Source organism: Homo sapiens, chromosome 19 (genome assembly GCF_000001405.40).
Source record: "Homo sapiens chromosome 19, GRCh38.p14 Primary Assembly".
NCBI classification, from domain to species: Eukaryota; Metazoa; Chordata; class Mammalia; order Primates; family Hominidae; genus Homo; species Homo sapiens.
The window spans coordinates 19430652-19454861 of record NC_000019.10 but is presented as its reverse complement, the minus strand read 5'-3'; the positions used below and the strand labels follow the sequence as shown (position 1 = coordinate 19454861).

General features: G+C 48.5%; 1 protein-coding gene and 1 non-coding gene across 43 annotated transcripts in view, besides 3 other annotated features; both read right to left on the bottom strand.

Moving 5' to 3' along the window:
• The window catches only part of GATAD2A (GATA zinc finger domain containing 2A), a 123090-nt gene that overhangs the window by 54071 nt on the left and 44809 nt on the right, over window positions 1–24210 (bottom strand). For 16 of the 42 annotated variants that reach the window (NM_001384514.1, NM_001384512.1, NM_001384523.1 and 13 more), the window contains one exon: window positions 18643–18731. The exons of 24 other annotated variants lie outside the window; for them this stretch is intronic. Coding sequence is in view for 3 of the 18 variants with exons in the window: in XM_047439009.1 (XP_047294965.1) it covers window positions 18643–18698 (56 nt within the window). In the remaining 15 variants the exon portion in view is untranslated. Of the gene's footprint in view, window positions 1–18560; window positions 18732–24210 lie in introns of all 42 variants that reach the window. 2 more of the 42 variants (NM_001384516.1, NM_001384531.1) reach the window with 1 other exon arrangement.
• Window positions 1828–2328: an enhancer, noted in NCBI's record as "H3K4me1 hESC enhancer chr19:19563343-19563843 (GRCh37/hg19 assembly coordinates)". NCBI's record gives its function as "activates a minimal SCP1, AML or CMV promoter by ChIP-STARR-seq in naive H9 embryonic stem cells {active_cell/tissue: H9 hESC(naive)}" and the evidence as "EXISTENCE:reporter gene assay evidence [ECO:0000049][PMID:30033119]".
• Window positions 8742–8861: an enhancer, noted in NCBI's record as "active region_14354". NCBI's record gives its function as "activates an Ori minimal core promoter by ATAC-STARR-seq in GM12878 lymphoblastoid cells {active_cell/tissue: GM12878}" and the evidence as "EXISTENCE:reporter gene assay evidence [ECO:0000049][PMID:35858748]".
• Window positions 18227–18832: an enhancer, noted in NCBI's record as "H3K4me1 hESC enhancer chr19:19546839-19547444 (GRCh37/hg19 assembly coordinates)". NCBI's record gives its function as "activates a minimal SCP1, AML or CMV promoter by ChIP-STARR-seq in primed H9 embryonic stem cells {active_cell/tissue: H9 hESC(primed)}" and the evidence as "EXISTENCE:reporter gene assay evidence [ECO:0000049][PMID:30033119]".
• MIR640 (microRNA 640) lies at window positions 19704–19799 on the bottom strand. The gene has a single exon (NR_030370.1). It is a non-coding gene; the product is annotated as a microRNA 640 (primary transcript).

Here is a 24210-nt window from a genome sequence, read left to right as displayed (position 1 = left end):
TTACACCTCGACGGTCCTCTAACACATCAATTGTGTTGGAACAAATCTGCTTTTCCAAAATAAGCCTTATAGCAGAATGGACTACAGAGAAAAGTAGGTTTCAAAAACAGAAACCTAAGGGGGTGGGGGGGGGCACAGTGGCTCACACCTGTAATCCCAACTCTTTGGGAGGCCAAGGAGGGAGGATCACTACAGCCTAGGAATTCAAGATGAGCCTGGGCAACAAAGGGAGACTTCGTCTCCAATAAATTTTTTTTTTTTTTTGAGACAGGGTCTCACTCTGTCACCCAGGCTGGGGGCAATGTCTCCATCTCAGCTCACTGCAACCTCCGCCTCCCAGGTTCAAGCGATCTTCCTACCTCAGCCTCCTGAGTAGCTGGGACCACAGGTGGGTGCCAACACACCCAGCTAATTTTTTGTATTTTTGGAACAGATGGGATTTCACCATGTTGCCCAGGCTGGTCTCGAACTCCTGAGCTCAGGTGATCCACCCACCTCGGCCTCCCAAAGTGCTGGGATTACAGGCAGTGAGCCACTGCACCTGGCCTTCTGATAAAAATTTTTTAAGCCGGGTGTGGTGGCTCATGCCTGTAATCCCAGCACTTCGGGAGGCCAAGGTGGGCAGATCACCTGAGGTCGGGAGTTCAAGACCAGCTGACCAACATGGAGAAACCCTGTCTCTACTAAAAATACAAAGTTAGCCAGGCGTGGTGGCGCATACCTATACTCCCGGCTACTCCAGGGGCTGAGGCAGGAGAACTGCTTGAACCCAGGAAGTAGAGGTTGCGGTGAGCCAAGATTGTGCCATTGCACTCCAGCCTGGGCAACAAGAACGAAACTCTGTCTCAAAAGCAAAACAAAAACAAAAAATAAACAAAAAAAAAAAAACACAAAAAATTTGGCCAGGTGTGGTGGCTCATGCCTGTAATCCCAACACTTTGGGAGGCCAAGACGGGTGGATCACGAGGCCAGGAGCTCGAGACCAGCCTGGCCAAGATGGTGAAACCCCATCTCTACTAAAAATACAAAAATTAGCCAGGTGTGGTGGCGGGCACCTGTAATCCCAGCTACTCGGGAGAACTGCTTGAACCCAGGAGGTGGAGGTTGCAGTGAGCTGAGATTGCTCCACTGCGCTCCAGCCTGGGCGACGGAGCAAGACTCCGTCTCAAAAAAAAAAAAAATTTTAAAAAAATTAAAAAATAGCCAGTTGTGGTGGTACACGCCTGTGGTCTCAGCTACGCAGGAAGCTGAGGTGGAAGGACTGCTTGAATCCAGGAGGTCAAGGCTGCAGTGAGCTGTGATTGTGCCACTACACTCCAGCCTGGGCAACGGAGCAAGACCTTGTATGTGGGGGGCACAGCGGACAGACTCGAACGTGTAAATTAAATCCAGAGCAAGGACTCAAGGTTAACTCTTTTGACAAGTCAGAAGGAAATTTAGTTTCAAAAAGTGCTATGTGCAGACAAGACAGCTTGCTACAGGGTCAATTTTATACTGTCCCAAAAGCCCACACTTAGAACACTCAAGATAAATAGGTCCCTGGTAGAAGGAAATTACATGCTATAAACTCAATTGCTGCAGTGGATGAAACTTTAACCCAGTTACAGAAACAAGCACTCCCTAAGCACAGGTGCCCGAGAATCACACCAAAGCCCTAAGGAAAAGCACAGGGCTGAGAAGGACCTGAGGGGCATAAGCCCAGCCTGGGGGCCCAGGAGAAGCCTCGCTGAGGAGGGGAGGTTTCAGTCACAGTGCAAGCACAAGGTGTGAACCAAACACACCACTGAGGCTGATTGCTGGAGGAATGGGGGCTACAGGGATGCCCAGTGGCAGGAAGGGAGTCACAGGGCACGGGCTTCCCGGGTAACCAGGACTGGCCATCACCTTTGAGGACTGAGGGAGAGCGAGGTCGTTTGTGCCAGGGAAATCCTGAGGACACATTACCTGGTTTTGAGGGGACGCACAGGAGGACAAGGTCCACACCCAGCTAGTGTGACCTCTCCCAGCTAATGCTCTGCCATACACGACTGTCCCACTCTGGGGCAGGATCTGGACAGGCAGGTAACCTATATCATGTCCTGTCCCACAGAATGAATCAAGGTCCGAAAACAAAGTTACTGTGGGTGGCTAAAGGTCTGCGTGTGGTACATTTTGCCTGTGGCTTTAGCTCCTCAGCCCAGCCCCAGCCCAGGGATTCAGCAGAACCACCAGGACCTGTCCTGCCTACTGCCACTCCCTGCCTTGGTCCTTCAATTCTGCACGTCACTTCACCCCCCCAGGCCTGGGGGCAATCTATGTCCTGTCCAGCTCACACTGGGGCTCCCTGGACTTGGGGGCTGACATGGATTCTCTAAGCCTTCTGCCTGGTTGAGAGGCTGATGCAGTTCAACAGGTGGACAACCATTTTACAAAAACAGGAGACGGAACTAACACATTCTTCCGTCCTGTTGAAGGTGCCAAGTCACTGTTACAAAGGCTTCCCACAAGATGGGCAGTCTCCCCATCAACCTCTGACAGCCACAGCAAGGCTCTCAGTGCCTGAGCAGGGACTCCTTGGCCCCACCTGGGCTGTGGGATCCAGGGAAGCCAAGGGCAACAAGAAGACTGGGAAGGGGACAAGGAACACATGGCGCCCATGAAGTAAGAGCATCTGACCCTGTAGGAAAGGCAGAAGACAGACAAAGGAAACAGTGGGACAGCAGACAGACACCTCCTTCCCCTGCAAAGTATACACTAGTTAAACACAGAGCAATCCTGAACAACACACACGTATATACTCACACTCATACGCATGCACAGTTTTCATCCCCTCCTCCTACTTCTGAGTCTTGCTCAATTGTCTCAGAAAACATCTTTCTGGCCAGGAGCAGTGGCTCACGCCTATAATCCCAGCACTTTGGGAGGCCAAGGAGGGAGGCTCACTTGAGTCCATGGGTTCAAGGCTGCAATGATCGCACCACTGCACTGCAGCCTGGGCAAAGGGGCAAGACCCTGTCTCTAAAAGTAAGAAGAAAAAAAGTCTTTCTTCTGCATTTAATTCTGAACAAAAGAACAGTAGTTCTCAAGAGCAATCAGCGTCCACACAGCTACTGATCTACTTGTCTCAAGAATATGGAAAACCACAAAGTATGGTTTTCAGACACAAGGGCCGGAATCACCAAGTTGTAGAGCATGTGAAGGAGCCCAGAGCCCTGCTGAGTCTCACACGCATTCCCACCCGCCTACTTCACTTCAACCCACACTACTTCCTCAGCCCTGCAATTTCTCACCTAGCTGGATAGAGCCACAGAACGTCCTCAACTCACTGGCACTGCAACCTTGCGTGTTGGTTCTACTTCGTGCCAAAAACATGGTAATGTCAGCTTCCAGAGAAGCCACAATAACTGATTTGTTGACTGCTGCACATCTGGACAATGCGTGAACTCAGAAGGAAACTTCTGCAGCACGAGGAGCCTGATCAGTGCCTGGGACACCCCTTCTAATTCACAGCCCACCTGGCTGTCATCCAGCTGGAGTGCAGTGGCGTGATCTCGGCTCACTGCAATATCCGCCTCCTGGGTTCAAGTGATTCCCCTGCCTCAGCCTCCCAAGTAGCTGGGATTACAGGCACGCACCACCACAAACGGCTAATTTTTTTTTTTTTTGTATTTTACTAGAGAGGGGGTTTCACCGTGTTGGCCAGGATGGTCTCAATCTCCTGATCTCATGATCCGGCTGCCTCAGACTCACAAGGTGCTGGGATTACAGGAGTAAGCCACCACGCCCACCCCACTTTTTAAAAGTTTGAATCTCGGCCGGGTGCGGTGGCTCACGCCTATAATATCAGCATTTTGGGAGGCTGAGGCAGGCGGATCACATGGTCAGAAGTTCAAGACCAGCCTGGCCAACATGGTGAAACCCCGTCTCTACTAAAAATACAAAAAATTAGCTGGGCATAGTGGCGGGCGCCTGTAATCCCAGCTACTCGGGAGGCTGAGGCAGGGGAATTGCTTGAAACCGGGAGGCGGAGGTTGTAGTGAGCCGAGATCATGCCACTGTACTCCAGCCTGGGAGACAAGAGCAAAACTCCGTCTCAAACAAAACAAACAAAAAAAAAGAGTTTTTTTTTTTTTTTTTTTAATGTAATGAGGTTGCTTGGTGAAAGAAAGCATCCCAGTACAGAGGCCACACTTGTATTCACCTGAACACGATGAAGAAAAAGCCCCCACATACCCCCCAGCACCTTGTGGTACGGGGATCCTGACCGCCCCCTAGCCTGTGAGAGGAGGGCTGAAACCTTTAACAGGTCCTGAAGAGGAGGAGAAAGCTGAAAGCTGTCAAAAGGCACAGAACACACTCCAAAAAGACATGAGCAGCACACATCCAATTCAAGTGAAGTAGTACCTCCCCTCAGGCCACCAAATACATAAATATGAGCACCAGCGTTCCCTGAAGAGGGGGTGAGCAACAGCCCCCACAGGTGTTCCCTACCCAGCACTTCCAGGAAGACGCTATTTACAAGTGCCATGCTCAGCTCTGACAGAGGGAGAGGGGCATCTACCGCCTCCTAACAGGGCACATGTGACAACCCAGGTGTGCCCAGCACTGTGCTGCTGAATGGCAGGGTCCCTTGCCAGCACTTCATCTGAAATGCTAATGACCCACGAATATAAGCTGGTTCCCATCACCAAACAGTGGGCGGAATCTGACCAACGACCAGGACATCCATCCCATCATCTCTAGTTCTTGGTTCTAGAGCTACTCAGAAATGCAGGTAATTAAAAATGAAAGGGACCAGGTGCAGTGGCTCATGCCTGTTAATCCCAGCACTTTGGAAGGTCAAGGCAAGAGGATCTCTTGAGGACAAGAGCTCAAGACCAGCCTGGGCAACATAGCAAGACCCTGACTCTACAAAAAAACCTTTTAATATAAGATAAATAAATAAAACAATGAAGGAAGTAAAAAGAAAAGGCACCTCTGGCTTTCCCATTTACAAATAAATGCACTTACAATCTCATGTGTTTCAGGTAGAGGACTTGTAAATGATGCCTCCAAAATATTTTTTAAAATCAATTTATTAAGTTTTTTAGACAGGATCTCACTCTCTTGCTCAGGATGGAGTGCAGTGGCATGACTACAGCTTACTGTAGCTTCGACCTCCTGGGCTGAAGCAATCCTCCCACCTTAGCCTCCCGAGGTCACAGGTGGGCACCACCATACTGGGCTAATTTTTGTAGAGACAGAGTTTCAACCATGTTGCCCAGGCTGGATTTTTTTTTTTTTTTTTTGATACATTTAACAAAGTAAACCTGGAGAGCAAAACATCACAGAAACATACCCAGGTATATTAATATATACCCAAGTAACCATCAACGTTTTAAAAATAAAACCTTCCAGGTCTCGTGGCATGTGTGCATGTAGTTCCAGCTACTAGGGAGGCCAAAGCAGGAGGAGTGCTTGAGCCCAGGAGTTTGAAACCGCCTGGACCCTGTCTCTAAAAATAAATAACATCTAGATGGTCTGCAAATTCCTAATGTAACTCACACTAGGCCTGCACAGTGGAGAGCAGCTCTGGTAGCCTCTCACTCCAGCACCCTGTGCAGAGCAAAGCTGTTTTGGGCATAAGTTGTCTCTAGAAAATAGATCACTGATCCCAATAGCCAACAGCCCTCCCATGGTGTGCCCACCACTCAGACTCACCACGCTATTGTGCAGGGCCAGCCTGGGACAGACAGGTCCCCAGACCCCAAACTCCCTCTCTGGTGTCATCTGGGGGAAAAAAACTGGAGAAGCATAGTTCTTAATCAGGGAAGATGGTGTAGGGATTATGCCATCTTCCAGAGACACAGATGATTGCCTGAAAACTCCCAAAACCAGGGGACGATAGTGTCCACACACTGGCCATGAAAGAGCCCCACAAGGATCACAATTAGCTGCTTCTGTATATCGGCCCTGTGTCTCAGCTTGAGGGCCCTTCCGGGTAACACGAGATGAAAGCCTGTCTTCACCCCCAAGTTGTACCAGACAATAGGAAAAAGCACACCTAAACTGATCACAGGCTTATTATGAGGAGAAAGACAGGTAGCAAATAAGTGTCTTTAAAACTACTGCTAGGCCAGGGGCGGTGCACTTTAGGAGGCTGAGGCGGGCGGATCATTTGAGATCAGGACTTCAAGACCAGCCTGGCCAACGTGGTGAAACCCCATCTCTACAAAAAAAATTTAAAAATTAGCCAGCATGGTGGTGGGCGCCTGTAATCCCAGGTACCCAGAAAGCTGAGGCAGGAGAATTGCTTGAACCCGGCAGGCGGAGGTTGCAGTGGGCCGAGATTGTGCCACTGCACTCCAGCCTGGGAGACAGAGAGAGACTCCGTCTCAAAAACACAACACAACACAACACAACTACCAATAGCTCCCTGTGCTCACACTGGAGATCAGGACTTGGTTTCTGTGTGTGACATCTCAGAACTGTTCAGTGCCCAACACTGCCCTCATTTGAGGCCGTGCTTGAAGTGGCCCCACACCTGCGCCGCTGTTGGCCAGGGCCTGTGCCCAAGCCCAACCCTGCGGCCCCAGAGAGAGAAACAGACGCTGCCCAAGGAACACACGACATAGAAACAAAGGTGCCGCCTGTGAAGGGGGAGTCCGGGCAGTCTTAAACCTCCACAGGTAAATGGGGACCAGAGTCCCAGCTGTAGGACGTCACTGTGAGGGCTGGCCATGCTCCCCTTCTGTGGGAAGGGCCTGGCTCTCTGTCCCCTCCCAGATGCCTCCTGGACCGTGAGCCTACGTGGCCTACGAAGGGTTACGCCTGCCATTTCCATGCCATCTGCTACGTGCCCATCAGGCGTCACATCACAAAATGGGAGGCCTTAACCCTTCCAGGGCTGTAGTCTCTCAGGGCTGAGCCAGGCGAAGCTGTGGCCCTGACCACCAGCTCCATCAAGGCCTGAGACTGGAAACGGCAGGGAGGTCTGGCACAGAAAATTCCAAGGGCCAGAAAAGCCTTCTCAGTTCCTGGAAGGAAATGTCAAGTGGAAAGTGAGGGAACCAAAAATTCATCTGTTGCCATTTTCATCAGGGCACCCAGCAACGTGGTGACGCTGTGGGCTGGAGGCCCTGCCCAGGCGCCCTTCCTCAAGCTCCTCCCTACAAGCATCCTGCAGCATCACAGAGCCACAGGGAGGATCACAGCCAGCAGGGAAACCTACTTCTATGATGAAACAAACTATCTGCTCTCAACGCAGCCCCAGCCCGTGGGTCTACCCACAAACAATCCTTGCAGCAGGTTCCTGCACAGCTGTAAGGGCTGGGACAGAAATCCTACTTCTACCCTCTACCTTGCAAATGGAACTCTTCCCCTCAGGGGTGGGAGGAGTCTGTGTATAGACACCCACACCAACCTCTGGGCAACAGCTAAGCTCAGCTGTGCCATGAAGTGGGGGAGTGGGGGGTCTGTATCAGTGCTTCTTTGGTAAAACATGATACTTAATAATACGGAAGCAAAGCCCTGGCCAGAAGGTCCTGCTGGCCTGACCATAATCCAGCCACCCCTGTGCCCGTCCCCCAAGTCCAACCAACCCCTCTCCTGTTCTCTCAGCTGGAGCCACACTGACATCCTGGCTCACTCCCACCTCAGGGCCTTTGCATCTCCACTCCCCCAGGTCTCAGCTGATAATGCAAAGTGAGAAACGCTTCCCCTCCACACATGCCCCCCAGGGGGTCTCTATCCCCTTTCCTGCCTCATCACCACTTGACATGCTATTTATTCACCTCTCTGTTTGTGGGCTTCCACCCCCAGGATATCAAGGGACACCTATTTCTCTAGCACTACCATCCAAGGGCCCATGCAGGCACAATGCTTTGCACAGAAGAAGCAATGTATACGCATTTGTTAAACAGATTTGAAATAGTACTTTCAGAACTCCCAACTACCACTGCCCTTCAACCTCCTTCCCGGTTAATGCCAAAATGTCTTCATCCTGACAGAAAAGATAATGATCAAAACCAAACAAAACCTGGCCAGGCACTATGCAGTGGCCCACGCCTGTAATCCCAACACTTTGGAAGACCGAGGAGGGAGGATCGCTTGAGGCCAAGAGTTTGAGATCGGCCTGGGCAACATAGTGAGACTGTCTCTACAAAAAAATAAAAACAAAACAAAATCTTTACATCACCCCATATATGAAAATTAACTCAAAATGGATGAAAGACCCAAGTATTAGGAGCTAAATCCATAAAACTCTTAGAAGAAAAAACACAGGAGAAAAATGTCATGACTTGGTGTTTGGCAAACAGTCTTACATATAAGCACAATATCAAAAAAAGAAAAAAGATAATTTGGACTGCATCAAAATTAAAATCTTTTGTGCAAAGGGCATTATAGAATAAAAAAAAAAACACCCATAGAATGGGAAAAAATTATAGCAAATCATACACCTGATAAGGGTCTAGTGTCCAGAACATATGAAGGATCCTTACAACTCAGCAACAAAAAGACAAGCAACCCAATTAAAAAACAGCCAAAAGACTTGAACAGACATTTCTCCAAAGAAGAGAGACGAATCACCAATGAGCATGTGAAAAAGACTCTGTCTCAGTGTCATTAGTCATGAGGGAAATGCAAATCAAAACCACCATGAGAAACCGCTTCACACCCACTAGGATGGCTACAATCAAAAAAGCCAATTAAGTATTGGTAAGGATGTAGAGAAATTGGGACCCTCATACACTGCATAGTGCAAAGTAAAATGGTAAGAGTGACATGGAAAACGGTGGAAAGTAAAACGGTAGAGTGACGTGGAAAACAGTGGAAAGTAAAACAGTAGAGTGATGTGGAAAACGGTCTGCCAGTTCCTCAAAAAGTTAAACGCAGAGTTCCCACATGAGCCTGGGCAGGGCCTCCAGCCCACGGCATCACCATGCTCCCGAGTGTCCTGCAAGTCCACTTGTAGGTATATCCAAGAGAGCTGAATATAGGTATTCAAAAAAAAATGTGCAGGTGAATGTTAAAAGCAACATTATCCACAATAGCCAAAAAGCAGAAAACAACCCAAATGTCCATCAATGGATGAATGGATAAACAAAATGTGGTCCATCTAGACAATGGAATATTATTTGGCCATAAAAAGGAATGAAACTCTGACACAATGTGACTGAACTTTGAAAACATCATGCTAAGTGAAAAAAAGTCAGACAAAAAGGCCACATATTGCATGATCCCATTTATATGAAATGCCAGAAGAGGCAAACCCAGAGACAGAAAGTAGAATAAGTGGCTGCTGGGAGGGTGGAGAGCAGAGTCAAGGAAAAGGCAGTGACTGCTAATGGGGACAAGGTTTCTTTTGGGGTGGGGGTGATGAAAATGTTCTAGAATTACAGGTGATGGTTGCACAATACTGTGAATGGGTTAAATGCCACTAAACAACACACTTTAAAAACGTTAAAACTGGTGAATATTCTACCATGTGAATTTTACATGCTTTTTTAAAGAGGTGAGAAAAGAAAACAAAAACAAAAATACTAATTCCAATAGCCATGAACCCCTCTAGAGCTACTAAAATACTAACAGGCAAAAGCAGGTTTGCTGTGACCCCAACAGCACAGAACTGGGTCCTTCAGTAAACATGCTCCTTTTATACAACAAGACCCCAAACAACCACACTGCCATCAGCCATCAGCCATCAGGGTAGGCAGCCTCTATGTCACCACCAACCACGAGTCCTACAGGACAACTGCAGGAGGCTGCAGCAAGCCCACTGTACACATGGGAACTCAGAACCATCTCCCAGCTAAAGATCCAATGCCTGGGAGTATGAGAATGTGGGACACATAAGGGAGAATTCACCAAGGAGGAGCCAAGGCAGAAAGAGGAAGTGGCCTCAGAGGGCTGGAATCACAAGAGTTACTACCAGCAGAGCCCCACCTCAGCCAGGCCTTATCACAGGCCCTACACTGCCTAAAATCCAAATAAAACAAAACTGCCATGGTGGCTTTTTTTTTTTTTTTTTTAAGGGACGAGGTCTCACTCTGTTGTCCAGGCTGGAGTGCAGAGCCACAATCATGACTCACTGCAGCCTCAACCTCCAGGGCTCAAGCAATCCTCCCACCTCAACTTCCTGAGTAGCTGGGACTAAAGGCACGCACCACCACACCTGGCTAATTTTTGTACTTTTTGTAGAGACGAGGTCTCGCCATGTTGCCTAGGGTGGTCTCAAATTCCTGGGCCCAAGAGATCCACATGCCTTGGCCTCCCAAAGTGCTGGGACCAACAGGCATCATACACGGTGGTTTTACACTAACACACTATTGGGGAAGTGCCACAGGCCTCAACGTCACAAGGTGTTTCACTCATTTATTTGTCCAAATACCTGCTTAAGTTTCTACTTAGGGATCAGGGACACCCTTGGGGTGCCAACAACGATAGGCCTCCTACTGGGAGCTGCCTCAGGAGCCCCAAGGAGAACACTGGAGTGGGGGGCACAGCAGGCACAGCACATACCGGAGAGAGGCAGGGTTGAAGTCCCTCACACACTGTTCGCTGGGTCCCTAGATCACAACTCTAAGCACTACTGTTCACGAAACAAGTCATGTGCAAGTCCAGCTAACCACCTACTTTATCCACTCGTGATGGGCTACGACTGCTGTGGATGGGCAATACCAATGGGGAGGGGAGAATGGTTTTCATCATAGAGTCAGGGTACTGGAGTGGTAGTCAGATGTGCCCCAGGTACTGAGCAGGGAGGCGACAGGAAGGAGGCCCAGAAGCTCATGCCCTTAGCTGTCCAGTCAAAGCCAGAAAGCCTGATTCACCCACAAGGGCCTCAGCTTCCTCACCTGTAAAATGGGAACAGCACCCACTTTATTGCTAACACTTCCTGAGGGCTCCACGAAGAGTAGCTGTGAGTGTTGTAATTACAGAAAATAAGAGTGTGTAAGAGAGGCTGTCTGGTGGGCTGACAGGCCACGGTCCCCTCTGGCAATTCCAGTCTCTGCTCATGGTTTTCTGCTTGAATTTAAACTACTCCCAAGTGGTCTCCTAAACTACCCCCAAGTGGCCTCTACCTCAGCTTTTATAAATGGCCATTTCCCCTCTTCTAGATGATCCAGTCACGAAGCTCCCTGAGAAAAGACCTGGGCCAAACCCAATTTTCACACTTTTCTTTAAGGAAAATTTCAAATCCACCCACAGAGTAGATAATGGTGTGATTAACTGCAGGTGCTTACCACCCAGGTCCACGGCCATCGGGGACCACCCTCGTGTCCTCCACATGCCGCTCCTTTCTCCTTCTCTCTCCCACTAGCTTCCACGAAGCAAATCCTATGAAACATGCATTTGTGCTAAAGGGGTCAGTATTTATCTCTACAGAACAAGCATGACCACAACACTATGATCCCACCTTTGATAATTTCACAATCTTCCGTCTTTGTTGGAGTCATATCTGGCTGGAATCCACAGGTCCCCTTACTGACACAATCGTATGCTCAAAGAGTTAGGATGCTTGCCCTGTTTCCCATTGTTGGTTTTGCAAATGGCGTCCCTGTGGCGTAAGTGCACATACCCCCAATTTCTCATGAACTAGACCTTGAGGCTTGGTGAGTGCGTGTCCCTGTGGAAGCACAGGACACTCTCCTTGGGGGCTAGCAGCTAGGGAGAATCACTGTCTGGACCTTACAGTCTGGAACCCCTCAATTCACTAGGTGACTGCAATAAACTTAAAATTCTGTCATTTCATATTAATTTGCTAAAACACATCAATAGCTGTGCTGCCCATTAGCCACATGTGGCTATTTAAATAGACAAAATTAAACTCCGTGTCCTCAGTCATGCTATGTTAAACGGCACGCAGGGCAGACGGTGTAGAGCATCCCTGTCACCCTAGGCAGTTCTGCGGGCCAGCACTGCCATGCGAGGGAACCTTGCCCTCGCCCACACTCTCGTTCCTGGAGTGTGCAGCCCACAGAGAAGATGCAGGAAAAATGCCTGTTGCTTTCCCTCTACCCATTTTTAAATGGGTAGCTAGCTCTCTAACTCCTACCAAAGGGGACCAGTGAGCTTCTTCCTTGTCCTTTAAGCACCAATAAGAAACTGTGGGTTTTTTTTTTTTTTTTTCAGCTTGGGGGGTCCTGCTACATTGCTCAGGCTAGACTCCAACTCCTGAGCTCAGGCAATCCTATGGCCTTGGCCTCCGGAACAGCTAGGATGGCAGGTGCGTATAACCACAGCCAGCTTAAACCCTTGGGTTTTTCTTTTTGTGAGACACAGTCTTACTCTGTTGCCCAGACTGGAGTGCAGTGGCGCGATCTTGGCTCACTGCAACTTTCCGCCTCCCAGGCTGAAGCAATTCTCCTGCCTCAGCCTCTCGAGTAGCTGGGATTACAGGCGTGCGTCACTATCACCCAGCTAATTTTTATATTTTCAGTAGAGACGGGGTTTCACCATATTGGCCAGGCTGGTCTTGAACTCCTGACCTCAAATGATCCACCTGCCTCAGCCTCCCGAAGTGCTGGGATTACAGGTGTGAGCCACGGCATCCAGCCAGCCTTGGATTTTTAACACATCTAACTCAGGGGCTCCTTGTTCTTGTTCACTCTCGCTTGCCCCATCTGTGCCAGCAGGGCCCCTGTGGGTCCTTCTGATACAACCCCAGTGTGTCTTACACAATTACCATGTTCCCAATGCAGAATGAGAATTAAGCGTTTTACTTAAAGTACTTCAGGTCTTGGCCAGGTGCAGTGGCTCACGCCTGTAATCCCAGCACTTTGGGAGGCTGAGGCTGGAGGATCACCTGAGGTTGGAGTTTGAGACCAGCCTGACCAACATGGAGAAACTCCATCTCTACTAAAAATACAAAATTAGCCAGGCATGGTGATGCTTGCCTGTAATCCCAGCCACTCAGGAGGCTGAGGCAGAAGAATCACTTGAACCCAGGAGGCAAAGGTTGTGGTGAGCCGAGATCGTGCCATTGCACTCCAGCCTGCGCAACAAGAGTGAAACTCTGTCTCAAAAAACAAAAACCAGGCCAGGCACGGTGGCTCACGCCTGTAATCCCAGCACTTTGGGAGGCCAAGGCGGGTGGATCACGAGGTCAGGAGATAGAGACCATCCTGGCTAACACGGTGAAACCCCGTCTCTACTAAAAATACAAAAAATTAGCCGGGCGTTGTGGCAGGCGCCTGTAGTCCCAGCTACTGTTGGGGAGGCTGAGGCAGGAGAATGGCATGAACCTGGGAGGCGGAGCTTGCAAGGAGCCGAAATCACGCCACTGCACTTCAGCCTAGGTGACAAAGCGAGACTCCGTCTTAAAACAAAAACAAAAACAAAAACAAACCCAAATTTAAAAATTTGCTGGACATGGTGGTGCATCTGTTGTCCCAGCTACTTGGGAGGCTGAGGTGGAAGGACTGCTGGAGGCTGCAGTGAGCTATGATCACACCACTGCACTCCAGCCTAGGTGGCAGAGCAAGACCCTGCCCAAAAATAAAAATAAAAATAAAAAAGCTAGTGCTTTGGGTTTTTATTGCATTTTCCTTTTGTGTGGAAAATTTTGGTTCTTAATGACATTACTTACTTATTTTCTCCTACAATATATAACAGGAATAATGCTAATATTGTTACCCTGAAACCAAAACCAGGATTCCAAAAAACAGCTGAAGATTTTAAGAAAGTTGTTTTTAGCCGGGCATGGTGGCGGGCGCCTGTAATCCCAACTACTCGGGAGGCTGAAGCAGGAGAATCACTTGAAACGTGAAGGCGGAGGTTGCAGTGAGCCGAGATCGCACCACTGCACTCCAGCCTGGGTGACAGAGTGAGGGGAGGGAAGGAACGGAAGGAAGGGAAGGAAAGAAGGAAGGGAAGGAAGGGAAGGAAGGGAAGGAAGGGAAGGAAGGGAAGGAAAGGAAGGAAAGGAAGGAAAGGGAAGGAAGAAAAGGAAGGAAAGGGAAGGAAGAAAAGGAAGGAAAGGGAAGGAAGGAAAGGAAGGGAAGGAAAGAAGGAAATAAATTTGTTTACCTTTATTGGGTATCTCGCTAAAACATTTACAGTCAAACTACGTTTTAAAGTTATCAGAAATAAGTTCTGAGAGGTTAAGTCACCAATGTGTGTTACAACTGACATGTACCTAGATTCATTCATTTTTGTCTTTGGTTTTTAAGGGATTGCTTCCCCTTCCACTGCCACCACTTGGCTTTTGTTTTATAATTATGTGAAGCACGTACATGATGCTACAAAGAAAGGACACGTGAAAAAGTCTCCCAGTGCCCTCTCCATCCCTTCTCCTGGAGGTGACAATGTGGTTCCTTTATGGTGTATAAAAATAAAATGAGTGGCTGGGCACGGTGGCTCACACTTGTTATCCCAGCACTTTGGGAGGCCAAGGTGGGCAGACCACGAGGTGAGGAGATCGAGACCATGGTGAAACCCCATCTCTACTAAAAATATAAAAAATTAGCAGGGCGTGGTGGCGGGCGCCTGTAGTCCCAGCTACTCGGGAGGCTGAGGCAGAAGAATGGCATGAACCTGGTAGGCGGAGATTGCAATGAGCTGAGATCGCGCCACTCCACTCCAGCCTGGGCGACAGAGCAAGACTCCATCTCAAAAAAAATAAATAAATAAAAATAAAAAATAAATAAAAATAAAAATAAAATGAGCAAATCCCCCCACCTTTCCTTAGATAAGTGACAGCACACTCCATCTCTTCTTCCTTTACATTGTTCTTTTTTCTGCTTGTCATTTCAACTAGAAATCCCATCACCACCACAAATGAAGACATCACCTACTCCTTCCTCCCTTCACTCAGGGGCTCAGGCACCACCCTGTAGGCAGAGCCACCACCACAAGTTGCCCAGTCTGAACACTGACACATCTAAGTCATTCCCAGCTTTGTTTGTTTCCGGAGTGTTGTAATGAACACAATCCTTGTAATCCTTCCTTATTTCTGACCATGTTTCGGATACATTTCCAGAAGTGGATTTGCTGGAGCAAAGAGTAAACACATGTCTTTTTGCTTTTTTGTGTTTTTTGTTTGTTTGTTTTTTGAGATACGGTCTCACTTTGTCACCCATGCTGGAGTGCAGTGGCGTGATCTTGGCTCACTGCAACCTCCGCCTCCTGGGTTCAAGCGATTCTCCTGCCTCAGCCTCCCCGGGTAACTGTGATTACAAGCGTGCATCACCACACCCAGCTAATTTTGTACTTTTAGTAAAGATGGGGTTTCACCATGTTGGCCATGCTGGTCTCGAACTCCTAACCTCAAATGACCCACCCGCTTCAGCCTCCCAAAGTGCTGGGATTACAGGAGTGAGCCACCGCACCTGACCACTTGTCCTTTTGCTAGATGTTGCAAATACCCCTGAGAGAAGTTGTGAATTCCAAAAGCAACTACCACGGCACTACCTGACTCCCATCACTAGAACAGTGTCTACTCCATGTGCTTGCCAACCCAGAAATGTCTTGGTGGTGCTCCAACGTGCAGGATTCTTATATTAGAAAGACTGAGCATCATTCACACCTTGGTCCAGGCCCATGTGCATTACCTGTCCTGTGATGCAATCTGTTTTTCTACAGTCACACCCATTTTTTGATCCTTAACACCCAGCACTAGGCAGTGCGTGCCTGCTTAACAAAGAGGACCTGACAGGCCAAATTCAAGGGCAGACACCAAGTCCATGAACAGGCAAGACTGCCCCTGTGCCCATAAGAATAAATGTACACACAAGTGGGAGTTGTGTGTAGACTGTGTGCCTCAGACATGGGAGGGAGCTGCTGGGCACATTGAGGGCCAGCCCTCCTCCGGCCCTGCTCCCTCCACTGTGCTCATGTGGTCCTGGGTGACAGGAATGGGGACACCCCAGCCAATCACAGTCCATAATTTCCACTTAAAGCAAGTGTGGGCTAGTGCTGAGTGAGACACACCCAAGAGTGGGTGAAACTTGCATTTTGTGGAGAAAACCTAAAATCTATCAATATGCTGGGCTGTCTTACACACCCACAACAAAAAGTGCACACAAGCTGACACATTTATAAGTCCTGAAGAAATAATTATTCGGGGGTGGCTTCCGCCTATTTGACCACTAAGTATCATGTGCCACGACTGTTTATAGACTGTCCTTTTCTATCAAGTCCCTTCAAGCACAGGCCAAAGGAAAACCTGGGGTGGCCTCTGGAAATTCCCTTCTGAACTCCCAAACTGACTGCCTGAATGCTATGGCTGGGTCTTCCCTGCTGGCTGGCAACAGAGAAGAGGGAGGTTTCCTCCATTCATTTATTCATTGAACAAGTACCTACTGCTCAGACCATGTGCTTCTGAGTTAAGAAAGGGCCAGGCAGAGGGGTGGGTACCCAGCCTGGGGCCTAGGAGAAACTACAGCCAGCCCTGCTGCCCTCAAACAATGCCCTGGGCTGCAGGACAAGAGGCAGTCACTCACTTCCCTGGGCTGGCTGTGGGTGCTTCCCCCTCAACAAAGGGGGTGAGCTCAAGCTGGGCACAGTGGCCCACACCTGGCAGTCCCAGCTATTTGGGAGACTGAGGTAGATCACTTGAGCCCAGGATGTTGAGGCTGCAGTGAGCCATGAACACACCACTGCACTCCAGCCTGGGTGACAGAGCGAGAGCCTATCTCCAAAAAGGAGGTGAGCCAACATGATGAGAGCCATGTGGCTTTGTGACTCTGAGTCCCTAGTCCTACCCTCTGTTTCTGTCAATGCCTGACATCCCCCAAATAGTAGTTACAGCACAACAGCACCAGGTAATAGGCTCTGACAAGTCTCAACTCTCTGTAGGAAACTGGCACAGACTTTGAGTCTGAACTTGTCTCCAAAGAGTTTGAGAGCCCTGTGTAAGTGTCAGGGAATGTAAAATAGTGCAGGCGCCATGGATAACAGTCTGGTAATTCCTGAAAAGAGATTAACAGAAAGTTACCATATGATCCAGTAACTGCACCCCTAAGTATATACTAAGAAGAACGCAACACAGGCATTCAAACAAAAGCTTGTACACGAATGTTAAAAGCAGCACTATTCACAATAACTAAAAAAGTAGAAACAACTCAAATGTCCATCAATGAATGAATGGATAAACAAAATGTGGTTCATCCATATAATGGAATATCATTCAGCCATAAAAAGGAAAGAAGCACTGATTCATGCTTACAATGTGGATGAACCACGCTAACAGAAGGCAGACGCAAAAGGCCACTTACACAAGTATAAGAGTCCATTTACAATAAATGTCCACAACAGGCAAATCAACAGAAAGTAGATTAGAGGTCATCAGTAGAAAGGGGAGGGGGAGATGAGGAGTGACTGCTAATGAGTATGCTGTTTCCTTTTGGGATAATGAAAATGTTCTGGAATTAAATAAAGGTGGTAATTGTGGAACTCTTGAATATATATAAAAAACTGAATTGCACACTTCAAATGGGTGAATTGTATGGTATGCAAATTATATCTCAAAAAATTTTTTTGAGTGTAATTTGCCTGTATGCCCAACACTTTGGGAGGCCAAAGCAGGAGAATCGCTTGAGCCCAAGAGTTCAAGACCAGCTTGGGCAACACAGCAAACTCCGTCTCTACAAAAAATACAAAAATTAGCTGGGTGTGGTTGCACACGCCTGTATTCCCAGCTATTCAGGAGCCTGAGGCGGGGAGGATCGCTTGAGCCCAGGAGTTTGAGGCTGCAGTGAGCTATGATCATGCCATTACACTCCAGCCTGGGTGACAGAGTGAGACCCTGTCTCAAAACATAAAAAATAAAAATATAAGTACCACGAAAGTTTCATTTTGTTTGGAGAACATTCTGGAAATGTTTTCCTGACAACAGAATTACCTGACTATGCCCATATTTTCTTGCCATATGAAGAGCTGAAACCTCACAAAACTGACCGCAACACTTGTTCTGTGCCATGGTCAGCAGAGCAGCCACATCTCACACTGCGTGACCGGCAAGATCCTGTTCGATGGGGCATGAATCCCTAGGCAAGTCACCTGCCAACTCTGGCCCATGTGTGTCCCCATCTATAAAACGGAGCAGCTGACCCAGGGGCTGCCTCCAAGTTCTAAGACATCTTTCAGTTCTGCGTTCTTCTCCAGGTAGGTAGCCTTGGGCCAAAACGTCGCTGACCAGGCTTGATGGTAACAGAGAAAATCCAAGGTACCCAGCAATGCCCTGGTACAGCTCTTGACAGTCTCTGCCTAAGAGCTCCACGCAGCGGGGGCAGCTTAGCTTTGCCATGAGGCACGAGGCAAGGTAAGGGCAACCAGCTCCAAGAACCAGTGTGGGGCCCTGGGCTTTGCGGTGAATAAGGAAAAAGTCTAACGGCATCTATCACTGCTGGGAAATCATGGGAATGGCCAGAGGGCAAAGGCCACTGGCCAGGATTATCCTCTGCCCCTGCCCCTCAGAGAGGACAGGCTCATCTTATTTAGACCTAGGGTTTTCAAATGAATGACCAATCAGAATGGTTTCTTTTTCCCTGAGGCCTGAAGGGACGGGCCAGGCAGCCCCATACAGACTGCACAGTGTGCGATCCCAGGGGGCCTGCCTCCCTCCATCTTCTCTAGGAGGTGGCTGAAGCAGCACTCACTTTAAAGTGTCCAAGAAGCTGACCGAAGCCTGCTGGATGCGTGGAACCTTCCTTCCACAGACACTACACCCCAAGCACTCACCTGGCTTCGGGGTATGGGGTGCTGGTCCTACCAGTTGGCCATGGCCACAGTGACATCAAAAGGCTACTTGAGACAATGTGCTGACCAACCTAAAGCAAAGGACAGAGAAAGAAACACTGTGTTTCCAAGCAAGGTTTCTGGAACATACTGGCATTTCTAAAATGTCTCTAACCCCTGGAATTACATAGCAAAATTTCAGATTTCCTGAGTTTTGCCTCAGCTACCTTCCACAATGGGGACAGTCGGAGGAAACAAATTTCTACTGATCTCTGAGGTATGAAACAATACAGTGCTAACCAATGAACGCCAACGTCCCAGACACTGTCTTCACCAATACAGATGGTGACATAAAAAGCAGTCACACGATGAAATACAATTATTTTTATCTTATGCCCAGACTGGAGTGAAGTGGCACGATCTCGGCTCACTGCAACCTCTGACCCCTGGGTTCACACGATTCTCCTGCCTCAGCCTCTCGAGTAGCTGGGACTACAGGCACCCACCACTATGCCCGGCTGATTTTTGTATTTTTAGTAGAGACGGGGTTTTGCCATGTTGGCCAGGCTGGTCTCAAACTCCTGACCTCAGGCGATACACCCACCTCGACCTCCCAAAGTGCTAGGATTACAGGCATGAGCCACCGTGCCCAGCCCAGGGTTTTTATTATAATAGTAATGACATTAAAAACAGAAACAGGCCAGGCACAGTGGCTCACGCCTGTAGTCCCAACACTTTGGGAGGCCAAGGCAGGAGGACTGCTTGAGCCTAGCAGTTTGAGACAAGCCCGGGCAACATGGTGAAACTCTGTCTCTACAAAAAAATACAAAAATTAGCCAGGTGTGGTGGCGTGTGCCTGTGGTCCCATCTACTTGGGAGGCTGAGGTGGGAGTATCACCTAAGCCAGGGAGGTTAAGGCTGCAGTGAGCCAAGATCCCACACCACTGCACTCCAACCTGGGCGACAGAGTGAGACCCTGTCTCAAAAAACAACCCAGAAACCTAGCATTTAATAGGTACTTAGGAGTATGTTCCAGGTACTATGCTCACACAGCATCTCTGAATCCCCAAGGCAACCGTAGAGGCAGGTTCCTGGATCATGCCCATTTTACAGATAAGGGATCTGATGTGTCTGATCTTCAGGAACTTGCCCAGGGTCACAGAGCACACAGGCAGCACGCAGGGCTCATTCTCCCAATGTAACCTCCTCACCATCATGTTGTCTGTCATGGACCCCAGGGAAACCAGCCACCATTCCTGGTGAAGGCAGTGCTAGGTTTACCCTCAAGATGAGGGCATGATGTGCCTGGGAATGAGCGGACTTCACCCTCCAGACCGAGAGGGCTTCACCTCCAAAACCAAAGGTCATGGTCATCCCCATGGGATGCTGTCCAGAGAGAAAGAGGCTGCCTGTCTTACAGACAGGAAAACTAATGCTCTACAATATTCAGGAACTTCTCTTCCAAGGTCATAGAGAAAATGCCTCGGACTTCCACTTCCGGTTTGTATCATCAGACGTCCAGGGCTATGGGCCAGAGGCTGAACCTTAGGAACCAGCCAAATCCCAGATTCCCAAGCAGTTCTGTCAGTTGTAGCTTGCCAAATAGTGTCAACATCACCTCTGTTGTCATTCTTTGCACCCACAGGACTACCAGGAGCTTGCTCTGATATGAAACCTTTATTTTTAAACTAGGTTCACGGCAATTCACAGCTGATGGATGGCGAGAAACACTCCCACAGGAGAACTTGCAAAAATAAGGATAGGGGACAACACCAGTGAACTCTATGGAAAGACCTTTAGGCACCTCCTAAATGAGGCACAGGGCTAGCTCCTCAGGAAGAACCCTTTCTGCCGCTCTTTTTAGCCCCATTCAAGCTGAGAAACCCAATGGGCAGCATTAGTCCTAACTATTTTGTATCTGCCAATCCAAGACCTCTCTGCCCCGAGGGTGGGAAGCCTCAGAAGCAGGTGTCCTGTGCTGTTCTGCTGCAGGATCAAGGTCTATATATAAAAAATCAGCTGTGTTTCTACACACAGGCACAAACCAATCAGAACTCAAAACCTGAAAAAAGTCATCTACATTAGCACAAAAAAGGTGAAATACTTAAGGATAAAGAAACTACAATGAAACAACAAGAAAAATGAAAGAAGGCCGGGCACAGTGGCTCATGCCTCTAATTACAGCACTTTGGGAGGCCATGGCAGGCAGATCAATTGAGCTCAGGAGTTCAAGGCCAGCCTGGCCAATATGGCAAAACCCCATCTCTACAAAAAAAATTTTTGAAAATTAGCTGGGTGTGGTGGCGTGCACCTGAGGTCCCAGCTACTTCTCAGGTTGAGGTGGGAGGATCACCTGAGCCCAGGAGGCTGCAGTGAGCCGTGACTGTGCCACTGCATTCCTGCCTGGGCAACAGAGCAAGACCTTGTCTCAAAAAAAGGGGGGGTATGGGGAGGTACTCCTTGCAGTAATAAATGAGAATAATTTTATTTTAGTGTTACACTTTTCATCAATTTCTGTTGTATGTTATACACTCTCTGAACATGTTTAAAAGATGTTTCTAAAGTTGTTGTTTGCATGAATCAATCACAATAGCCTCACTTGTGTAAAATACTGTTTTATCTCAAAACAAAAAAAAAGAAAACTGAAGTATATGAAGACATGTGTCTTGTTCATGGGTCAGAAGGTATCAATTCTCTCCCAAACTGATCTACAGATTCAATGCAATCTCAATCAAAAATTCCCAGCAGATGGTTTGAAGAAATGACAAACTGATTCCAAAATCTACACGGAAGTGCAACGGACCTAGAATAACGAAAACAACATGGAAAAACAGGCACAAATTTGGAGGACTTACCACAACTGATTTTGAGACTTAACATAAAGCTACATCAAGACAGTATGACATGGATACAAAGACAAGCAGACTGACAAAATAGATGCACGCATGTGGATCACTGAGACTTGACAAAGATCCAACTACCCTACTCTGCGTGAACACAAGATGCACAAGATCACATCTTCCTGGGGCAGGGGGGTGGTGGAGGAAAGTCAAATCACAACAAACAGTACATCGTACCTACAGTGCAACTGGCAAGAAGTCTTAAGGTAACTTCTTTCACACTCTACCACTGCTTTCAAAGCCAGCTTGTGGCAAATCCATTCTCCCAGCAATTAAAATTTGGAGTTGTCCCCTTGGGCAGACTCCACCCACCACCCAGTCACTCAGGAAAGCCTGTTGGTTCTGCCATTAAATATATCTGGAGCCCAACCACTCCTCACACCTCCACTGGCCACACTGTCCTCTACTGGGATGGAGGTCTCCAAACTATATTCTCTGCTTTCACTCGTGGACTCAAAGTTCACTCAGAGTGAAGCCCATCCTCTCCTAACCCCAGAGGCCCACACACTGCCTGCAGACCCAAGCATCCCATCCCCACTTCAGCCTGCTCACTCTGTTCCAGCCATACTGGCCTCCTGGCCGTGCCTCCAACACACTAGGACCCTCCCCACTTTGAGGTCTTTTTATGTTTTAAACAAAATCCTAGTTCTGTCATTTCATCTATCAATTAACTATTCAATCTGCATCCCGAATTGAAAACGACCTTTAAAAAACGACTGTCAGCCGAACACGGTAGCTCATGCCTGTAATCCCAGCACTTTGGGAGGCTGAGGCGGGGTGGATCACTTGAGGTCAGGGGTTCGAAACCATCCTGGCCAACATGGCGAAACCTCGTCTCTACTAAAAATACAAAATTAGCCGGGCATGATGGCATATGCCTGTAATCCCAGCCACTTGGGAGGGTGAGGCAGGAGAATCGCTTGAACCTGGGAGGCAGAGGTTGCAGTGAGCTGAAATTGAGCCACTGCACTCCAGCCTGGGCAACAAGAGCAAAACTCCATCTCAAAAAACAAAAACAAAAACAAAAACAAAACAAAACAAAAACCACTGTCAAGCACAGTGGCTCACGTCTGTAATCCCAGCATTTTGGGAAATGGAGGCAGGTAGATCACCTGAGATCAGGAGCTCAAGACCAGCCTGGACACCATGAAGAAACCCTGTCCCTATTAAAAATACAAAATTAGCCAACCGTGGTGGCACATGCTTGTAATCCCAGCTGCTCGGGAGGCTGAGGCACGAGAATCACTTGAACCCGGGAGATGGAGGTTGTGGTGAGCTGAGATCGCACCATTGCGCTCCAGCCTCAGCAACAAGAGTGAAACTCCATCTCAAAATAAATAAAAATAAAAAATTAACCCCTCCGTGTGATCCCCCACCACCCCTGCCTTTGCTCAAATGTCTCCTCACAGAGGCCCACCATCCCGACCCTGCTCCTCTTCTTCCACAGCACCACCCCTCCCACACTCCACACAACACAGCTACTGTGTTGCCGATGAACTTTCTCACCCAGCAATAACGTACACACCACAAGGGCAGGGGTATCTGCCTGATGCCCGATTTTAGTTCAAGCACCTACAACAGTGTCTGACACATAAGTGGTGCTTAGTAAATTTTTTTTTTTTTTTTTTTGAGACCAAGTCTTGGTCTGTTGCTCAGGCTGGAGTGCAGTGGTGCGATCTCGGCTCACTGCAACCTCTGCCTCCTGGGTTCAAACAATTCTCCTGCCTCAGCCTCCCGAGCAGCTGGGACTACAGGCACGCACCACCACGCCCAGCTAATTTTTATATTTTTATTAGAGACGGGGTTTCACCATACTGGCCACACTGGTCTTGAACTCCTTACGTTGTGTTCCACCTGCCTCAGCCTCCCGAAGTGCTGGGATTACAGGTGTGAGCCACCGCGCCCAGCCGCTTAATAAATATTTATTGAATGGACGAGCAGGGATAGTTTAACCCTGAAGGAGAAGGGGCCGATCTGAGGAGCCCACTGCAGGAGCCCTGCAATACAATCAGTGCAAGATTCACAGAGGAGGAAACCAAGCAGAAGACCACTCAGCATGATCACAACTAGCAGCATTTCTTGAAAATACACTGTAATCGCTTTCCACTAATCTATCATTTGGACTGTTTTGCCATCCACCCCGTACTGGCTGAGTTCAGAGAGCTTTTACTGTTTTTATCTCCAACCCATACATTTAAAGCAGTATCAAGTAACCCTTAAGTGCACAATTACCAGCTCATAAGAGACTCTTCCGCTCCCTTGATAAATCATTATGGTTTGGCTTTGACCTTGCACCTGGGTACTACACACACACACACACACACACACACACACACACACACACACCCCTACCATACAACCCACCCAAACACAAGGACTTCTCAAACTGAGGGAAGATCAGCCTTGGTGAGAAGGTAGCTATGGCAATTTACATGAAATCAAGTCACTGCACTTTGGGCAACAGAAGTCCTTTCTTGCCATTTTATCCTCTCAAGCTCAGGCTAGCGAGGTCCTTTTAATTTGAGGAAAGGACACATGGCCTGACACTGGCCACTACCTGGGGAACTCCGGTTCCATGGGGTTGCTGGGGTTGCGGCACCCATGGCTGGTACAGTGATGGTGTCTCTGCAGCTGTCAGCACCTGATCCGGAAGCATGGGCTCTACCAGGTG